Source organism: Homo sapiens, chromosome 9 (assembly GCF_000001405.40).
Source record: "Homo sapiens chromosome 9, GRCh38.p14 Primary Assembly".
Taxonomy (NCBI): Eukaryota; Metazoa; Chordata; class Mammalia; order Primates; family Hominidae; genus Homo; species Homo sapiens.
In genome coordinates this window covers 69,552,743-69,572,333 of record NC_000009.12, presented here as the reverse complement: position 1 = coordinate 69,572,333, position 19,591 = coordinate 69,552,743, and the positions used below count along the sequence as shown (strand labels likewise).

Genomic DNA, 19,591 nt, shown 5'->3' with positions numbered 1-19,591 from the left:
TGTTTTCACTTAGAAGTGGGAGCTGAACAATGAGAACACATGGACACACGGAGGGGAAAACACACACTGGGGCCTGTCAGGGGGGACGGCACACGTTGGGAGAGCATCAGGAAAAATAGCTAATGCATTCTGGGCTTAATACCTAGGTGATGGGTTGATAGGTGCAGTAAACCACCATGGCACACGTTTACCTATGTAACAAACCTGCACATCCTATACATGTACCCTAGAATTTAAAAAATAAATCAAATTTTAAAAAGAGATAATAACACTAGCAGCACTATCTTGGACTGCCCTCAATGTGCAGGAGCTCGTTATCCACTGTTGTGTTTTATTTCATGATTGTGCATTGAAGCAGTGGTAAAGCAGGATTCTGATCAGAACATCCCACTCCTATGCCTGTGCCCTTAGCTCTGCCCTGAGATTGCAGCAGTCGGCAGAGGTCAAATCAATGACAGCCTCGTTTTCCACATAAAGCAGTTAGGATGTGGAGACAGGGAGAAGTTCAAAGCATGAGTTATAATAGCCCAAAATGGGAAATGGCCTACATTTCCTTGCAAGAGAGAATTAAGTTAAAAAGTGATGTCCATTTAATGGAATATTGTATGAGCATTAAAATAATAGTTATCAACACTAGAAACAGAAAAAAATTTAATATGATATTTAGAACTTTTTCCATTGTCTAATGATAAATATTTGTTATAGAAATGTCAAAAAATTCAGAAAAGTAATAATTTAAAAAGTAATCCTACCATCCGAAACCACTGTTAATATTTTGGTATATATCTTTCCATCTATGTGTATGTATGTGTGTGTGTGTGCAAATATATACACACTCAAAAATTAGAGTCATATATTATTTAGTTTTGTACTTAGTATTTGTTATTTAACATTATATTGAAAGCATTTCCCTATGCATATTAAATGTTCTCAGAAAACATACATTTTAATGGCTATTTTTATAGAGTAAATAATTATTTAAATGGATAAAAAGGCCAGGATCAAAAATACTGGATAGACTTTTATGATACAGCGGTGTAGAACTGGCACAGGAAACAGATGACTAATGCTGAGGTTATGGGCAATTTCTCCTTTTCTCTAATGTGGTTATTTTTATAATTTAGTTTTTTAAAGATTTTCAACCCTTGTCATGCATTCATTCAACAGGTAACATTTTTTCCTTCATTGTGCAGTGTACAGTGTGAGCAGTTGATAATAAAAGTTGTGTTTCTGCTTGACATCCCACCCTAGGCTTGGGTTTGGAAAACATGCACGTTGGAGAGAAGGAAAGGAGAGCTGGGATTAGAATCCACCATCCACGCCTATCTGAGAGTGGGAGAATTACTTTGTCAATGTAAGAAGTGATAAAAACCGGAATAGACTTGTCTTATTAGGCTGACGTTGTTCTTGTTGATTTATTAACTTGAATTTCTTTCTTCAGAACATAGTCACAAACAAACCAAGAGGGAAAATGGAAGTTCTAATCATAGGCTTTGGTAATCAATCGCCGTGGGGATGAAATGTTATTTAATTTATAGCCTGTTCATGTTTGTATATGGCACTTACCATGTTATATGGGGAGAGAGATACACAATCTAGCCCATAACAGTGAAGATATAATGTGTTTGTTGGGTGAGAGGTAACAAAAAAAAGACAAAGGGGGCTATTCTCTCAAAGTGTCTCCAAAAGTTCCTTGAAAAAGCTGCAAACTGATTAGAAGGTAGGTTTTTTCCTAGTACAAAATAATTTACTTAGTCCCTTTTCAGAGGATCATTCTATCATGTTATATCTGTTTATAAATCTCTAAATATCAGAAAAAGAGATGCTTAAAGAGGATCAAACTATTTTGGGAGAGTCACTTTGAATTCAAGAGAAAGGATATATTACAGTATTACCAGCTGTCTCAAATATGATCCTATATGATCATGAGGATCCAAATAGATCCTTAACTCCCCCAGATTGTGACTTCTTTGTATTTTCTCTGGGAATCTTTGAACACTGGGCAGCTGGCCTCTGCAATCACACTGTCATTCTTTTCTTGCACATGTCTCCATCCTCAGCCACTGGAGGTTGTGTCTCACTCTCATGCATGTCATCACTGCCTGGCACAGAGTCGGCACTCAGTACACTTTATATTAAAGTGAATACTTCCATCGCATAAAGCAAGTGACTGTTATTAAAATGTGTTCAGTAGCCTTTAGGTCCTAAACTCTGGGCAAGTTCTCATTGCTCCAGATGACTCCTGCACCACCTCTCTTTTGCTAGAAGGAGAAGCAATGAGTTAAGTGCCTTCTCAAGCTTCTTAGATCCCTGATTAATATTCTCTGATTCTCTGTCTTGGAATGCATTTAAAATCTCTGCCTCGATTCTGACCTACCTGGCATGGGAACAAGAATTTACAATGTTACTCACCCACAATGAAGATTACATGCCTGGCAATTTGATTTAATTATTTGTGGAGCTTAATTCAGGCTGTTCATATCTGCCTAGGCAGGAAAAAAAAAACTCTAGCAAGTTTTTGGGCCATTTTTGAATCAGTATTATTGCAGAAGAAGGCAAGAAATTTTTTTCCATTTTAAGCCTGGCATTCACCCCTATAACAGAGTTTATTTCACAAGAAGAATGTTAAGTCTTGCAGACAAAGTTTTCTGTTTCTTCATGTTAGTAGAAATGTGTAACGTTGCCTCAGTCACCTTCAACCATATGCATAAGAGAAGTAGATATTTTTTTGAGGGTTTCTCAGTCTCGGCACCATTGGCATTTGGGGCTGGACAATTCTTTGTGTGTGGGACATTGTAGAATGTTTAGTAGCATTCCTGGCTTCTACTCACTAGATGCCAGTAACACACACACACACACACACACACACACACACACACACACACTCACACGTGACAACCAAAAATGTCTCCATATATCAAGGGAAGGGTGCAGGGGAGAGGCAAAATAGCCCTCCTGTACACTAGAATGTATGGAAATAAATACATACAAGACATTCTCACACACTCTCTCAAATAGCTTTGGCAAATTCTGTTTGGCTTTCACTTACGTGAAAATCACTTCTTTTAGAAGACTTTTTCAGTTCAGGGATGTGATGTGGGGTGGGGTGTGTGTGTTGGTGTGTGAAAAACCACACCTGAATGAAAAATGCAGCCTCCCTAGGAAGGTGACCAAGTTAACTTTCCTTTTCAGGGAAGAAGCACCACAGGAGGTCAAACGGAAACCCTAGCGGATGCCTGTTCCATAGCTAAGTGAGCCTTGCAACAAGGAATTGTTCAATATTCATTCTTTCACATTTCACCTCTTTTTGCTTTGAGCATCCTTTTCTGCTGCCAGACTTTGGGGACCTAGCAGCTTGCAAAGACTCAGCTCTTGTGGAAAGTCCAGTTTTTATATCCTGGCTCACGTATACCTCTAAAAAGCTTAGCTGGAAGTAATAGAGCCACTGTTTTTGAGTACTTTCTCATGCCAGTCACTATCCTAAACTTTTTCCCCACATCATTTCTCTTATTCTTTGCAATAATTCTACCATGTAGATACCATTAATGTCACAGTTTGAGACATGAGGACCCAGGCGTAGAACACTGGGTACACACAGTTGTTAAATGGCAGTTCCCTTTCTTGACCACTGTGCTGTGTTACCTTCCATTGAACATGTGGATTTGCTTATCAAGACCCTCAGATGACCACATCATAAATGATTTATATGAATGAGTTTCACACTTTTTATATGATCTCTTCCATTGCTGGTTGAAAATGAGAGGAGCTGGAAGAAGCACGGAAATACTTAAAGTTCCAGTAGAGGCAACCAAAGCCTGGGGGAAGGTTGGTTCTCTTCATGGTGGCGTAAATGTGATATAATGCATGCATTCTGGCTGTATTTTTGTAGTAATTAAATGGAAGATGTAATTAGTTCTCTTCTATTTTGAATAACAGATTAAGTCATAAAATGTAGAATGCCTGGCTAGGTTATTTCTTCTCAAATTTAAATTTTCAAAGGAGAGAATGATGCATCCTAAAGTGAAGAGAAAACTCTGGATCTTTCATGAAGTGCCCCCAACCCTTGCTGTGTTTGTTGAAGTGTGATCACAGGCCAACTCTGGTTAGGAGCTTTGAGAAATGAGAAATTCTACATAGGGCATGGGGGACATTCTCAGGAAGCCCTTGTGGCTTTCTGTTGCTCTTCTCTACGTGGAAAACGTTCCTGTGTCTCCTACCCAGGCAGTTTAGTAGTCCATACTGCAAGGAAGTGTAGACTGACCTTATCCTATGTCATTTCTCATACTTACTGTGTTTGTTAAGCATTTTTGGCAAAAGGTGTGACTCTACTTTTTGGGAGTGGTGATGGGAGTTTTCTGGGGATGAAGTCTGGAACATTCCTGGGATTCTCAACACAAGCCCAAGAGTTTTCATCATTTCTCCCACCTCATCATACCTGTGGGAGGCAGCACTCTCCTACACCCCTGGGGAACGAGCTTGGAGGCAGAGATGCTCAAGGTGGAGGGTGGGTGCTGAGGGGAGGGGAGTCCCCCACAGGATGTCCCGGACCCCAGTGCCATTTGAAGAAGGCCTGCACCTCCTCCTGACAGGCCTGAGCTCTGCTGGAAACCCTGCATTAGTCAGACTGACATGAGAGCGTGAGGCCCAGACCTGGGATTCAAAGTTAATGAGAAATGTAGAAAACTTGAAGTTGAACAATGAGAACATTTGGACACAGGAAGGGGGACATCACACACCGGGGCCTGTTGTGGGGTTGTGGAGGGGGGAGGGATTGCATTAGGAGATATACCTAATGTAAATGACGAGTTAATGGGTGCAGCACACCAACATGGCACATGTATACATATGTAACAAACCTGCACGTTGTGGACATGTACCCTAGAACTTAAAGTATAATACAAAATAATAATAAATAAAAAAATAAAAAAATTCACAGAAAGGAAAAAAAAGAATTCCAGTTACATGAATGACTCTGTGTTGCATGGCGGTGGGGGCGGCAGGAATTTCCTTAGCATTTGAAGAACCTCTCCCATCCTTGGCCATCCCCTTTGTGGGTGCAGTTTTCTCTGTGGGAATCACCCTTCTCTCTCTGGCAGGTGTCTGCCCATCTTTCAGGAGCTCGCTCTAGCATTGTTTCTTCTGTGTGGAAATGATTGATCGCTTCTCTGTGCTCTACGGAATTCAACAAATACTTGTTGAATGAATATATAATGCTATACTAGAATCTACAGGTTTTTGTTATAATAAGTGATCATTGTAAAAAAAAATTCAAACAGTACTGAAGTGTATAGACCATTCAGTTTTGAGTATTTCTCCATTCATTCAAGAAATATTTGTTGCACATCTAATTGGTGCCAGTTGGGATACAGGAAGAAATAACATGAACAGAGTTTCAGCCCTCACAGCCCTGACACACAAGTAGGGTGAGGCCGACTGTGACCAAACAGCAAGTGTATAATGCCAGATAATAACTGAAGAAATATAAAGCCAAGCAGGGGAGTTGTGTGTGATGGTGGGTGGGGTGGGGCAGGTAGGGGACAGCTGAGGAAAGGCCTGCATGTAGCTGGGGAGCCAGCATTGAAGACGCCTCGGGGACAGTGGGTTCATGTGGAGAGGGCCGCAGGTGCAAAGGCTCTGAGGAGAGAATGAGCTTGGAGTGCTTGAGAAAGGAGAGTTTTAGGAGAGCAGATCAGACAGGAAGCCAGGAGCCAAATCATGCAAAGCTTGACTGGCCATGAAAAGGACTTTGAATTTCATTCTGAGATGCGAAATCATTGAGCAGAAAAGTGACATGATCAGATTTATATTTGTAAGAGTCACTATCAGAGCATTTTCATCATCTTTTATTCAAACAGCATTTACCAAGCACCAATAAGCACTAGGCCCCATGCCAGATACCAGGGAGTGGCAGATAAAAGACCCAGTACATGCCTTCAAGAAACTTGCAATCAGGTGTAGAAACCCACCTACAAATAGACACCTACAGCACCCTGGGTTAATGTCATGATGGTCAGCGTGGTGAAGGGCTGCAGACCCAGGACAAAGGGACCCCAGACCAGGGCATGGGAGGCAATCCTCCACATGAGAATGTTGTTGATGATGTCCCTAATCTGTGCTATAAAACAGGAGTGTATGTTGCTATGGGGATATGCAGCACGGAGACCTACCTCAGTTTGGGAGAGTCAAGGGAAGGATCTTTGAGGAAAGGATTTCTAGATTTTTTGGCTGAGTTCTGGAGAATGAGCGGAGGCTGGCCAGGCAAGGGCCCTGCATGTGTGCAGGAGCAGGGCAGGGAGTTCTGAAGCTGGGAATAGGGGTGGGAACGTGGTAAGAGATGAAACTGGGTTGGTCGGTGGGGCCTGAGCAGGCAGGCCTTGAGGCCACGGTCAGGGCTTGCTCCTCACTCTGAGAGCCGTAGACGCCATCAAAGCGTTCTAAACAGAGGAGGGACGTGATTCCATTTGCATTTTAGAAAGATCACTCTGGCTGCAGAGTGCAGAATATTCTGAGAAAAAAGCAAAGACAGGGGAGGAGAACGGTAAGGACTCATGCCAAGGCCTAGCTGAAAGTGGACATTGTGGACATGGAGGGGAGTGGTGGATTGCATGACATGGAGGATGTAGAGCCACAGGACTGGACAATTGACTGGACGCGGAGAATAAGAGGGGAGGATGAACCATTGACAGCTGCCATGGCACTGCTTTTGAAATGGTGGAAATGGGATTTCTTGGGATAAATAATATAATGTGGAAGAGAAATGCGATGGGAGTAGAAGATTATGAACTCATTTGTGGGCAGTGTGGGACTGCCAGTAGGCAGCTGCCTATTGGGGTATGAAGTTCCATGGAGAGGTGTGATGCAGGGACACAGTCGGGAGCACTGGTGCGTAGATGATTAAGGTCATAGGAGCTGATGGGCTCGCTGGAGACTGCTGGCATTTAAGGACTGCCTAAGGCCTCTCACCAGCCGTGTATGTAAATCTCAGGTCCATCACAGTTTTGCTGAGGCACAGCACTGGCTGTGGCATGTGGAGGCTGGGGTCCGCACCTACACCAAGGCTTTTGGGCTCGGACAGGCACCTGGCTAACAGGAGGGTCCTTGGAAAGGTGGCATCCCAGATAACAAATGAGTGCAGGACTCTACCTGACAGCACTTCACATTTTAGATGTTTGGAGGTTTTTGCAGGTGAATAATCTGTCTTGTTTTCTGCCTCTTACTTCAGGACTAGAAAAAGTATTTTAGAACATTTTCTTCTCTTAGCTTTATGCCCTTGCTTATATGAGGAGCAACAAAGAAAGATGTGCCTTCTCTTCTTACATATTGTGCTGCCTCTTTTTCACTAAATTCACATTAGAAATAATTCACACACCTCGAAAGGATTACTGTACTATCATTCAAAATGAGCTTTTCCCATTTGGGTCGTTTCTACTTTTTGACTGTTGTGAATAATGCTGCTAAGAGCACTGATATACAAGTATCTGCTTGAGTCCCTGCTGTCAACTCTTTTGGGTACATGCTGGAATTACTGGATCACATGGTAATTCTGTGTTGACTTTTTCTGAGAAACAGCCATACAGTCTTCCAAGTGGCTGCATCATTTTACTTTCCTGCCAGCAATGCAGGAAGGGTGCCAATTTCTCCACAGCCTTGCCAACACTTGCTATTTTCTGATTTTTAGATAATAGCCATCCTAATGGGTGTGAAGTGATGTCTCCTACTTCTTTACTCCCCAAAATTCTGGCCCCTTCTGAGCATGTATTGGGTAGTTATTTACTAGATTTATTTAAAAATTGACAGATTGACAGCATGAGTTTCACTTTTGTCAGTTAAGGCATACGGAGGTCATTTTGTGACCTCCCACCCCAAAAGTAAAAGCAATGTCCAGCCTACCTTATTGAAATGCACCTGTGAAAATAACCTGTGAAAATGAGGCGAAAGTGGGCCTTTTATAATTCAGAGATGTTCCAGTTGAAAATGAAGACATACTCTTTGTTTTTAAATATTGCTCTGTGATCACTACATTAATATTCATAAAGCTCTTGAAAGGAGATTGTCATTTGGTATTAAAGCCATTACAGTTGTCACTGGGTTTCAAAGCATTGCTGCAGAGATTAAATTGCCCCTGCTCTTCCAGGGCTCTTCAGATTAACTGCATTTGGGTATGAGTTCCATCAGTCATCTGTAAGCCTGTGATCCTGAAACCGAGAGGTGCTTATTAGAAATACAGAAGTCAGGAGAGAATGCTTTGGAAGGTGCTTCTCGAATTTGGAGTTTGGGGAGTTGCATCTTATGTGCACCTTATGGAGGTAATTATGGTGGTCACTGGGAATAGATCACCACCACCGGAAAAAGGGGTCTCTTGCTGTCAAATGAAGGCCACCAAGCACAATTTACTGAGACTTGACCTTGAGGAGAGACTGCACTGTTTTCAAAGTGGGTAGCTTGTATTTCTTGACACTTTATCCCAGAGACTTTACACTGACAAAAGTCAGTGAGTGCTATGGAAATAATCAGTCTTGGCAAAGGTAAAGACCTCCTGTTCTCTCACGTGTCTTGGAAACATCTGTCTGTCTGAGTGTCAGGAACCATAAAGTGCAAAACAGTTGAGCCAGAAGGGTTGGTTTCTTTAGAGTGATTTGAATCTTGATGGATAGACAAGTCTCTAGCAAATTAAAAAAAAAAAATTAAAACCAAGTAAGCAGTACATTGAGAATAATATGAGCTAATATACTCTCTACCAATACAAGTCAGGTGGAGTAGAAAGATTAATATATGGGTTGTATGGCCACCGTGATTTGGTAGCCATGCAACCCGTGTATTAACCCATAGGCATCTTTTATGCTTTTGAATTCAAAGGAAGGTTTATATTTCAGAGACTAGAAAGTAAACCTTAAATTGGATCTTGATGAAAGTTGTGCTCATACTGGGACAGCTTTTTATTTGTAGTCATTTCGGAAGAGAAGTTTTGAAGATATCTCTGTTGCTGGTAAAAGTAGAGAAATTTAGTAGAAAAATCTTTTTAATTTCAAAGTCCATTTTGCAGGGATGGGGAAAGCAAGTTATTTTTAAAGTGACAAGTTGGTTAGGGATATTCTTTTTCTTAAGTTTATTAATAATGGTATAGCCAAAAAAGTGAAAATATATGATTCAGATTTTAAGTACTTTGCCAAATTTAAGTCACTTTACATTTGTGGGATAAGACAGACTTGAGACTCGTGTGTGGAAGGGATCGAGTTTACCCCAGCCAATGGGCTGCAGAAGCCCAGAGCAAATCTTAGCTGAAGGCTTTTAAGCATCTTGAGATGACTAGATTCTGTTCAAGATTTAGAAAAACAGTCATTTCCAAAGAAGCAAGCTAAATTTTGTAAACCATAGCTTTGGAGTTGATAGTGATAGTGAATGTTGAAATAATTATTTTCTGTAGTTTTCAGGTCTACCAATACTGTTTTGTCAAATTGTTTTTAACTTCCTTATTTTTAAATCAATATTTTAAAAGAGCATTGTATTGTATTGTTAAGCCCAGAGTTAAAATTTTCTATTTGGGCAGATCTTTCTTCTCTTTCCAGCAGGCTAACCATACATAATGTATTGTTGGTTTCTTCTTCTTTTTTTTAATCCTTAAATTAACCTTTAAAAATATTGATTAAAGCAGAAATACAGGCCGGGTACAGTGGCTCACGTCTGTAATCCCAGCACTTTGGGAAGCTGAGGCAGGAGGATCACATGAGGTCAGGAGTTCAAGACCAGCCTGGCCAACATGGCAAAACCCTGTCTCTACTAAAAATACAAAAATTAGCTGGGCTTGGTGGCGTGTGCCTGTAATCCCAGCTACTGGGGAGGCTGAGGCAGGAGAATCAATTGAACCCAGGAGGCAGAGGTTGCAGTGAGCCGAGATCATGCCACTGCACTCCAGCCTGGGCGACAGAGGGAGACTTCATGTCAAAAAAAAAAAAGAAAAGAAAAGAAAGAAAATCTAGGATATATGAAGGTACTAGTAATATTTATACTATAAGGTATAATTCTCTTGTGAATTAAATCTGATGTTTGATTTGGCCTTACTGTAGCAAGCTAATCCCTTTTGTATCTTTTGTTATTGTTGTTGATTATAACTGACACATAATAGTCATACATGTTTGTGGGATACTGTGTAATGCTTTACACGTATACGTTGTATAATGATAAAATCAGGATAATTAAGCTAATTCACTTTGAATGTACATGGAAAATATTATTAGGCCTACTTTGAGAGTACACCAAGTCAGTCCAACTGCTGCTTCTTTGGAAAAATAATGAAAAAATGAATTAAAATGTATCACCTTCCCCCCATCAAAAAAAACTGCTAGCAATCAAATAGTAGAAATGATTATGATGATGGTAATTACAGTCACCTTAAAAAATCCCCTAGACAGCAGGGCGCAGTGGCTCATGCCTGTAATCCCAGTACTTTGGGAAACCGAGATGGGCGGATCACCTGAGGTCAGGAGTTCAAGACCAGCCTGGCCAACGTGACGAAACCCTGTCTCTACTGAAAAATACAAAAATTAGCCAGGCACAGTGCACCTGTAATCCCAGCTACTTGAGAGGCTGAGGCAGGGAGAATTGCTTGAACCTGTAAGGCGGAAGTTGCAGTGAGTCGAGATGGCACCACTGCAGTCCAGCCTGGGCAACACAGTGAGTCTCTGTTTCAGAAAAAAAAAAAAAAATCCTGTAGATAAGGAGTAGGTTTGGCAGATCCATCTATACCCCAAATCAACTACAGTCAGGACTCCAGTGTACTTCTGAACTCTAACAGATGTTGATTGGTTTGTAATGAACTTTCTTTGGTTATGTAGCATGATTTATTTTGTTCTCCACTTGATGTTATTGTTTAACTCAGGCCCCCAGCATCCAAGCTACCTTCCTTCCTACATAACAATGGTATCACTTTTAGGATAGTGCTAAAATGTCCCTAAAGCAGTATCACTCAAAGTGTGTTCCTCCACCCAGTCAGTAAGCTGTTTTTTCCTGATCTACAGTGAATTAAAATGCTTGCACCATCATATAAACCAACTACATTGCTGAACACACTATTTAGTTCATCTTTTTATTACAGCAAGTTTCTGGATGAAAGAAGCACATGCATTGATTTACGTTCTGGGGCAAGCCTTTATCTCATTATTCACTGGCACTTCTCTTGCTTTAATATTTTCTTTCTGACTTTCAAGGATTTTCACCAAACCCTGGAAAATTATGAGAATATGGGATTTTTGTAAAGTGGTATTTGTAAAGAGCAACATTATATATTCCACATGTGTAGAATCTCTATTGTCATATTTAGTTATTATTCAGTTTACTTCCTTCTCATGAAACATATTTTTCTGTGTCTGTGTGGCACCAACTTGTACATAAATCTGATCCCTAGGTAGATGAATTAATAACTTGAATAAAGTTGTTGTGCAATGTTTAATAATACAGGTTGAACATTCCTAATTTTAAATCTGAAATGCTCCAAAATCTAAAACTTTTTGAGGACTGACATGATGCTCAGAGGTCATGCTCAAAGGAAGTGCTCATTGGAGCATTTTAGATTTTGGATTTTTGGATTAGGGATGCTCAACTGTTAAGTATAATGTAAATATTCAAAATCTGAAAAAATTTAAGATCCCAAACACTGCTGGTCTCAAGCATTTCAGATAAGGGTTCTCAGCCCATATGAATTTTATTGATAAGTGCTTAATGAAGTACTGTGCCAAGTACTTTACATGCATTCCCATATTTCATCTTTACAACAATGCTGTGAGGTAAGAATTTTGATCATCCCCTTTTTGGAGATGAAGAAACCAAGGTTCAGAGAAGTTAAATAACCTATCCAGCTTCAAAAAGCTAGCCAGTAGTGAAGCAGTGATTCAAATCCAGGTCTCCATAACTTCAGGGCTCTTGCTCTTAGTTAAGAGCCACTAAGTGTGGTGTGGGCATGGGCATCTGGCAGATAAGGAGTGAAACAAATTTAGATTCTGGAAACATGGTGGACAAAGTCCATGCAGAGTCTCCTTTAACCTCAAATAGAAAAATTGGTTAAAATATACTTTTTAAAAAGTCATAATAAAGATCAAAAGAAAGAAAGAGAAATCACCAAAGTATGAAAAAAGAAGTGGCAGTTCAAAAGAACCAGAGAAGAAAGCTGAAGGCATGGCCTTGGCAGCTGTTTGATTTGGAGAGTCCCTTGTGTTAATGTCCACGCATGCAGGGGCAGTTGATGTGACTAAACCTGGGCAAGCAGGGAGCTAAAACTTAATCCCCATATATTGCTGACCTCCTCAAGGGCTGCCCCTTTCGCAAGAAGGGGACTTGAGAAACTCCACCCATCAAGCTCTTTCCATGTCCTGGTATACTGGTGTGGGGGCCAAAACTACTCTAGTGATGCAGATGCTTGGGGGAGATTGTCTCAATGGAAAGATGTATGTTGGATTGATGAAGCACATTGACTTCTATCAATTCTTTTAGCATTGCTAAAATCAAACCCACACTGTGATATAACCTATGGAAGTATTAGAACACTAAAGATGAATAGAACATTTTTAATAGAACCAAAAATGGGAAAAATAAATAACCAGAGGAAATGGTCAAATTGCTATCAAAGGAATAGCAGTTCAACTGGCAGCATTCTCTGAACAACAGTGAAGCCTAAAACACATTGGAATAACAACTTCAAAATCTGAGAAAAAATAACCGTCGACCCAGAATTCTATGCCCTGTTAAAGTATTATTTTAAGAATGATAATGACATGGAATACACAGTGATAGGAAAGAAAAAAGTGATAACAACAATAGTCTCACAAACATGTTCAGTGAAAGAACCCAGACACAGAGTACCCACCATAGGATTCCATTTATATAAAATTCAAAAAATAGGCTAAATTAATAGGGATAAATGTCTGAATAGTGGAGTGAGTAATGACAAAGAAGGGGCATGAGAGTGTGATGGAAATGTTATCATCTTGATCTGGATGGTATTTGCATGGGTGCTTACATATGCAAGATTCATTGAGCCAAACCCTTTAAATGCATGCACATTATGCACCTCACTGTATGTATTTTAAACCTACCCCCCAGAAAGAATATATTTTTTAAAGATGGAGACTGTAATAAAGACTTTTTAATTTGCTTTTTATTAATACTCACTAAAGAATTGGTCAAGATGTATTTCTGTAAGACTGAGATAGAACTCAGAGGATTGGAGTGGGTTTTAATAATGAACAGTAAGAAAAGAAAGTGGTAAATTAGTGGTTGCATTTAAACAAATATTGACTAATTACAATAATAATGACTTTGAGGAGTGGGGGTTAAAAAGCAAGATGGAATTAAGGTGCTAGATAACAATCATGGAAGGTGGTAGGTGGTAATTGGAGTTAAAGCCTTCTAAGATCCTTTTTTTATTCTGAAAGAGGGTAGAAATATTAACTTTGAGTCAGTTGTAAAAATTTAAAGTAATCTTGCAAACTAATGCAGGAACAGAAAATCAAATACTGTATGTTGCCACTTGTAATTGGGAGCTAAATGATGAGAACTCATGGATGCAAAGAAGGGAACAACAGACACTGGGGTCTGTGAGGGTGGAGGATGGGAGGAGGAAGAGTAACTATTGGGTACTAGGCATAACATCTGGGTGACGAAATAATCTGTACAACGAGCCCCTGTGACATGAATTTACCTGCATAACAAACCTGCACATGTACCCCTGAACCTAAAATAAAAGTTATACATATAATGTGTATATATATATATATATATATGTGTGTGTGTGTGTGTATGTGTGTGTGTATATATATATAATTTAAGATAGTCACAAGAACAATAGAAACAGAATGATGTCTAACTTTCATATCAGTTAATTGGAAAACAAGAATAAGAAGTTATTGAACCTAACAGTAATCAGGAGAGAAGAAAAACAGGAGCATAGAAAAGACATAGTAATTAGAAATTACTAATGGAATAATGGGTGCAATAAAATTAGTAATCACAATATAAGTATAATTTATTAACAGATTTAATGTTTAACATCTGTTAGAAGATGGAGATTCCTCCATGCTATTTATAAGAGACTTTCAAAGCCAAATAACACAAAGCAAAGGGGTAGAAAAAGATAAATCAGGAAGACAGTTTAAAAATTGAGAGCCAATAAAAACCACATTACTGCCATGCAAAATAGACTTTAATGCACAGATAATTTTAAGGAATAATTCATCAGAAAGCCATTAAAGTCTTGAGCTTGAACTCTCAAAGTAAGCAAAATTTAATAGAATGACAAGGAGAAATAGACAAATTCATAATTATAATCAGAGATTCTAACATGTATGCCTCAGAAAATGAAATGATCAAAGTTGTGGAAGATTTGAACAGCACAATTAATGAATGTGACCTTTGTGCTATATAAAGATTCCTGCCACAAGTTAGACAATATACATTTCAAGCACAACATACATACATCATTTATAAGAATGGAATCTATATCTTCAGCCAGAAAAGGAGTATCAGTAAAGGGTAAACCAGGCAAAATAGAAGACAACCGGGAGCACTGAGGCTTGTGGCAAACAGGAGAGAATGCACCTTCTTAAGGCGAAAGCAAAAGGAAACCATTCTGCAGCCTATGGCTTCTGGTTTGAACATTCAAAGTGACTGCATTATCAGAAACCATCCAAGCCAAATGCCTGCTGCTGCCTTTCCATCTTGTTGCCCACTCTCTCACCTTTCGACCACTCATTGATATCTGTGTTCAAAGAAGGGAAAGGTGTTATCAGTCATCTTGGAGTCATAAACATTTCTGATGGCAGGCAACAGGGCAGCAGGAGGGAGCGGGTGAGGAGGAGGAAGAAGCTATTGCCTAAGGCTAGGTTTATGGATTCTGTGATGAATTTTGGGTTATTCATTGTTCTTCATTGCCAGGAGTTCACCTCTAGGTGAAGTTGTGTAAAATCTTGCTTTGAAGATACTGAAAATGGATGAAATAATTTTCTTCCTGGATGAAGATAAGGCTTTATTTATCTACTAGAACCCATTTAATAAGCACCTACACTTTGTCATGGCTGAAGGAGCTATGTGACCCTGAGAAGACTTGGCCATAGATTCTCTTTGTGGAGTTGGGTGAGTTCAGGCTTTATCAGGAAGATTATGGGCATTTTACTTAGATATCAAATTGTCTCACCTCCTTTGTCCATGTTTTATGAATAATAGTATTCATGATCGTGGATACAATATTCTAGATTTGGTGTATAGCCTCCTAATTTGTTCATCTACAGCATTCTTAACCCCTTATAAATGTTTCATGCCAGCCTCTCATTTTGTTAGATTTTAGTGTCTCCTCTTTATCTTTTGCTGACCTAGAAATTCTAGAGGCAGCTCCATTTTTAGGCTGATGAAACGCAGCGATCCCTGAAGCGATCTGGCAGTCTCCCATAGGTAACCTCCTTCAAGCTTGAAATGACTCCATTATTACTATGAGTCCCTGCCCTTGAGAACATTTTAGCTGAATGTTTGCTAATTTCCTTTTCCACGCTGCCTCTGCACATTAGATATCAGTCTGTTTCCTAAAATCTTTCTTAACTTTCCTAAATTAAGGCTTTGATCACCAAATTATGTATCCCATGGGTGCTTTTGGTTGACACAAAAGAAATAAAACAACCTGTCACAGTTAATTTTACAATATAATTAAAGAGCCAAAGCAACTGTTGAGACTGGGCATCATCCCCTATCTCTAAGGAATAAATAATGCAGAGGCTCGTGTTTTTCTAAAAGTGCTAACTATTGGTCCCTTGGCAAAGAATAATAAAGTACAACTGCACTGGGCCACAAACTGGCCCTGGGCATCAGAATTCTCACTGCAGTGGAAGTTGTCTTTGGCTGCAGTTGTGTAAACTCCGACAGGCTGTCCAGCACAAGTGTGACCACAGACTTCCTCCAGTCTAGGTGTGTCCAGGATCTCTCTGCCTTCTTATACTTGTCCCCAAGACTTCAGTCTTTAGTGTGGACTGAACAAAGATGTAAATGCTGTGGCTTGTTCTTGCTGACCAAAGGAAACTTGATTTTGTTTTAGATCCAGATATATTTGAACTGATTCGATATTTTCCACTTGATATAAAGTGGGGAGGCATGTCAATGTGATAGTAACAGATTTCTCTTCATTATGTTTATATCATTGCTGTGCTTTAAGGGTTCCTATGAAAGACTTCATTCACTGAATGTGAGTCCCTTGTTGGAGAATTTCTAAATGCTTTTGTGTTTAAGTAGCTATTTGTTTTGAGCTAGAAATATGAAAGTGGTTTGGTTTTTGTTTTTTTTCTTTGTTGTTGCCACTTAACTGCTTCCTCTTTTGGGGTTGATCAGTTTTAGGTTTAGATTAAAACAGGCACCTGAGTCATAAACAAACTTTAACAGATAAATGGATAATATTCTCATTATATAACTAGCTTATTATAATTCTTATGAATAACACTAAGGCCACAATGGATAAATGAGCAGAGGACATGACAGTTTCCTAAAGAGAAAATCAGATGGCTAGTATGCATCTCAAAAACTGTTCCACTCACTAGTAATAACAGATGTAAATTAAAGCAACCATGAAGTATCCTTTCTCATTGCTAAAATTCTACTTTAGTTACTTATTTCTAGACATTTTAATTTTAAAAAGGCATTAAATATTTTGATGAATCTTGTTAAGTTGATAAAACTTTTTTTATATTTTGCCAAAATGTTTGTTAAATACCAAATATACTACCAAGTATGCCAGTATAGAAGGATAGATGGCTGGTTCTCTGCACCCTTTTCTATATTGAGATGATTCATTCTTTGAATTTTGCCAATGATTAAACAAATTACTGCACAACATATGAGATAATACTTGCAGGCATTAAATTTATATTTATGGATATTTTACATAACACAGAAAATATGCTTATAAAAAGGACAAATGACATTTTATGTAGCCCCAGCCTTCAAAACTCATATAGTCAAATAGAATACAAGGGAGGGTGAAGGGTGTGTGGTATCTAGCACCACCAGCCTGGTTATCCATTCCTTCTATTCCCTCGCCACACAGTCTAAGGAATGTTTTAAATCTGGGTGAAACAGCCCAATGCTATAGCTTGTTTCCTCCCATGCATTGAAAAATGATTGCACAAATGTTATTAAAACTTATCTCTGTGGTTAAATAATCTACTACTCTTTGGAAGAAACCTGGACCGTCTCCAAGCAAAATGACTTTCTGATGTTGCAATGCTCTTGTCTGCCATGCCTCACTTAGTTTTGAATGCCTGAATTATGGGAATGTCGTTTTCTTAGAACACGTGCGGGACGTAGGAATCATCAGTTGTGCTCCAGCTCTCTTAGCTTAGTCTGTCTCCATGCTATCATCTGTTATGTCTGCGATGAATGCTTAAGAAATGGTCTTGTGAAGAGAGCTGATCTTTCTGCAGGTGTTCTTACTACTGAATCAAAATAAATAGAAAAAGCTCTCATAAAAAGACTTATCTTTGGAATCTGAGGACATCACCATGTGTGTTTTTTTTTTACCCTAAAAATATCTGCTGTTCTTTGCTATTTTTAAAGTGTGTGCTTATTTGAGAGGCAGTAGCAAAATCTCTCATTCAAAATAATCTTATTTTTAAGGTAGAAAAAAATTAGAACTGATGAAATGTTTTGACTGGTGTATCATGGAGGCACTGAGGAAAGCTGTTCTTATGAGCACATAGGTCTTTGTTGTATAATATTTAAGCTCCTTGTGTGCCGCTGGAAACTTCTAGAGTTTCTCTGGGTGCTGATCATTTTGGAATGGAGATATTAGAGGTTTGCAGTTCTCATCATCAAAAACCACTAATGGATCACAAGTGAGTTAGTTGTACCTATATCTAACTTCTTCAAGTATAGAATATATGGTGCCTACTAATTGTATAAAGATGTCTTAGTGTAAGGAGAATTGGGTGGGCTTTAGAATGTGACACCCTAGGATCAAGTTCTGGGTCTGTTACTTACTAAGTACATGACCTTAATTTACTCTTAATTTACTTAATGCCCCTGAGTCTGCTTCTTCACCTGAACTGTGGGAAGAACAATACTCACTTGGTAGTGTTGTGAGGATTAAAGATAGTATGTGTCCTATGGAAGAATCAATGTATGCTATTACCATTAATATTTCCGTAGCATTTTATTGACACTGTAAACAGTAGGTATTTGAATATGTTGCTTTTTTCAATGTCTTTACAATTCACCCAAGTTGAACATGATATACTAGGGGCTTAGTTTCTAATCTGGATGAGTTTTTCCAGGTGACACACACTTTCTGTCACCTTTGTGCTCAATTGCATGCCCTGCTGAGATGGCTCAAGGGGGTCTCTGTTGTTTTCTAAGACCTGGAAATGGAGCCCTTTTCACCAGAAAAACCAATAAGACCATATAAGATTCAGTCCACACTTGTGTGTTTATTAGCACCACGCTGAACCAAATATATTTAATTGGATGCTTAATCATTTTGATTCAGATACTTTATAGGGTGTGAGAAAGGTATATTCTATTTGTGGCAGGAACTTGTGATGTAAAGTATGTAGAACAGTCTGTAGAAAAGATCTGTGGCTCCTAAACTTAGAATTCTCAGATCATTTGCTATGTCCATCTATCCCAGTCTTAACCCCCATGGAAATCTGTCAAAAACAGTGTCCGTGCTGGAAGTGACCTAAATGTGCATCAGTAAAATAATGGATGAACAAATTGAAGTATATTCATACCATGCTATACTGCTCAACAGTGAAAAATTCTGAGTTACTGATAGATACAATGACATGGGTGAATTTTAAATCATTATATTGAGTTAATAAAGCCAGACACAAAAGAGTATATACTCTAAGATTAGATTTTTATGAAGTTCAAGAACAGAACAAGTACATCTAATCTCTGATGATATAAGTGAGAATAGCAGTTACCTATAGGGGTAAGGGGAAGTATTGGCTGAGAAGGGGCAAAAAGGAATTTTCTAGGGTGATGGAAATGGTTTATATCTTACAAGGATGTGTATACAAGCGCACACACACATACACACATTCATCAAATTGTACATTTAAGATCTGTGCATTTATGGTATCTAAGTTATACCTCCATTAAAAGAAAAGTGCCAGCTGGGCATGGTGGCTCATGCCAGCACTTTGGGAAGCCGAGGCAGGCAGATCAATTGAGCCCAGGAGTTCAACACTAACGTGGGCAACATGGAGAAACCCTGTCTCTACAAAAACAATACAAAAATTAGCCGAGTGTAGTGGCACATGCCTGTATTCCCAGCTACTCAGGAGGCTTAGGTGGGAGGATTGCTTCAACCCTGGTGGTTGAGGCTGCAATGATCTGAGATTGTGCCACTGCACTTCAGTCTGGACAACAGAGTAAGACCCTATCAAAAAAAAAAAAAAAAGCCCAAGAAAGGGCACCATTTCATTTGCAGAGATGAGCAAGGTGAGGGTAGAAGGAAATTAACTCTGAAAAATATCAGTCTCTCTAGGGTTTACATTTTATAAACTCCATTTCTGTAAAATTGAAGCGACCACTCAACTCTGATTTTAAAACCCAATGAAACCTG

The 19,591-nt window shown here is 39.1% G+C and overlaps 1 protein-coding gene across 5 annotated transcripts in view; it reads left to right on the top strand.

The window, feature by feature from the left end:
• The window catches only part of APBA1 (amyloid beta precursor protein binding family A member 1), a 245,482-nt gene that overhangs the window by 100,680 nt on the left and 125,211 nt on the right, over positions 1–19,591 (top strand). The window contains exon 2 of one of the 5 annotated variants that reach the window (XM_047423300.1): positions 1,252–3,251. The exons of 3 other annotated variants lie outside the window; for them this stretch is intronic. The gene's annotated coding sequence lies outside the window, so the exon portion shown is untranslated. Of the gene's footprint in view, positions 1–901; positions 3,252–19,591 lie in introns of those variants that run through there. One more of the 5 variants, XM_017014670.2, reaches the window with a different exon arrangement.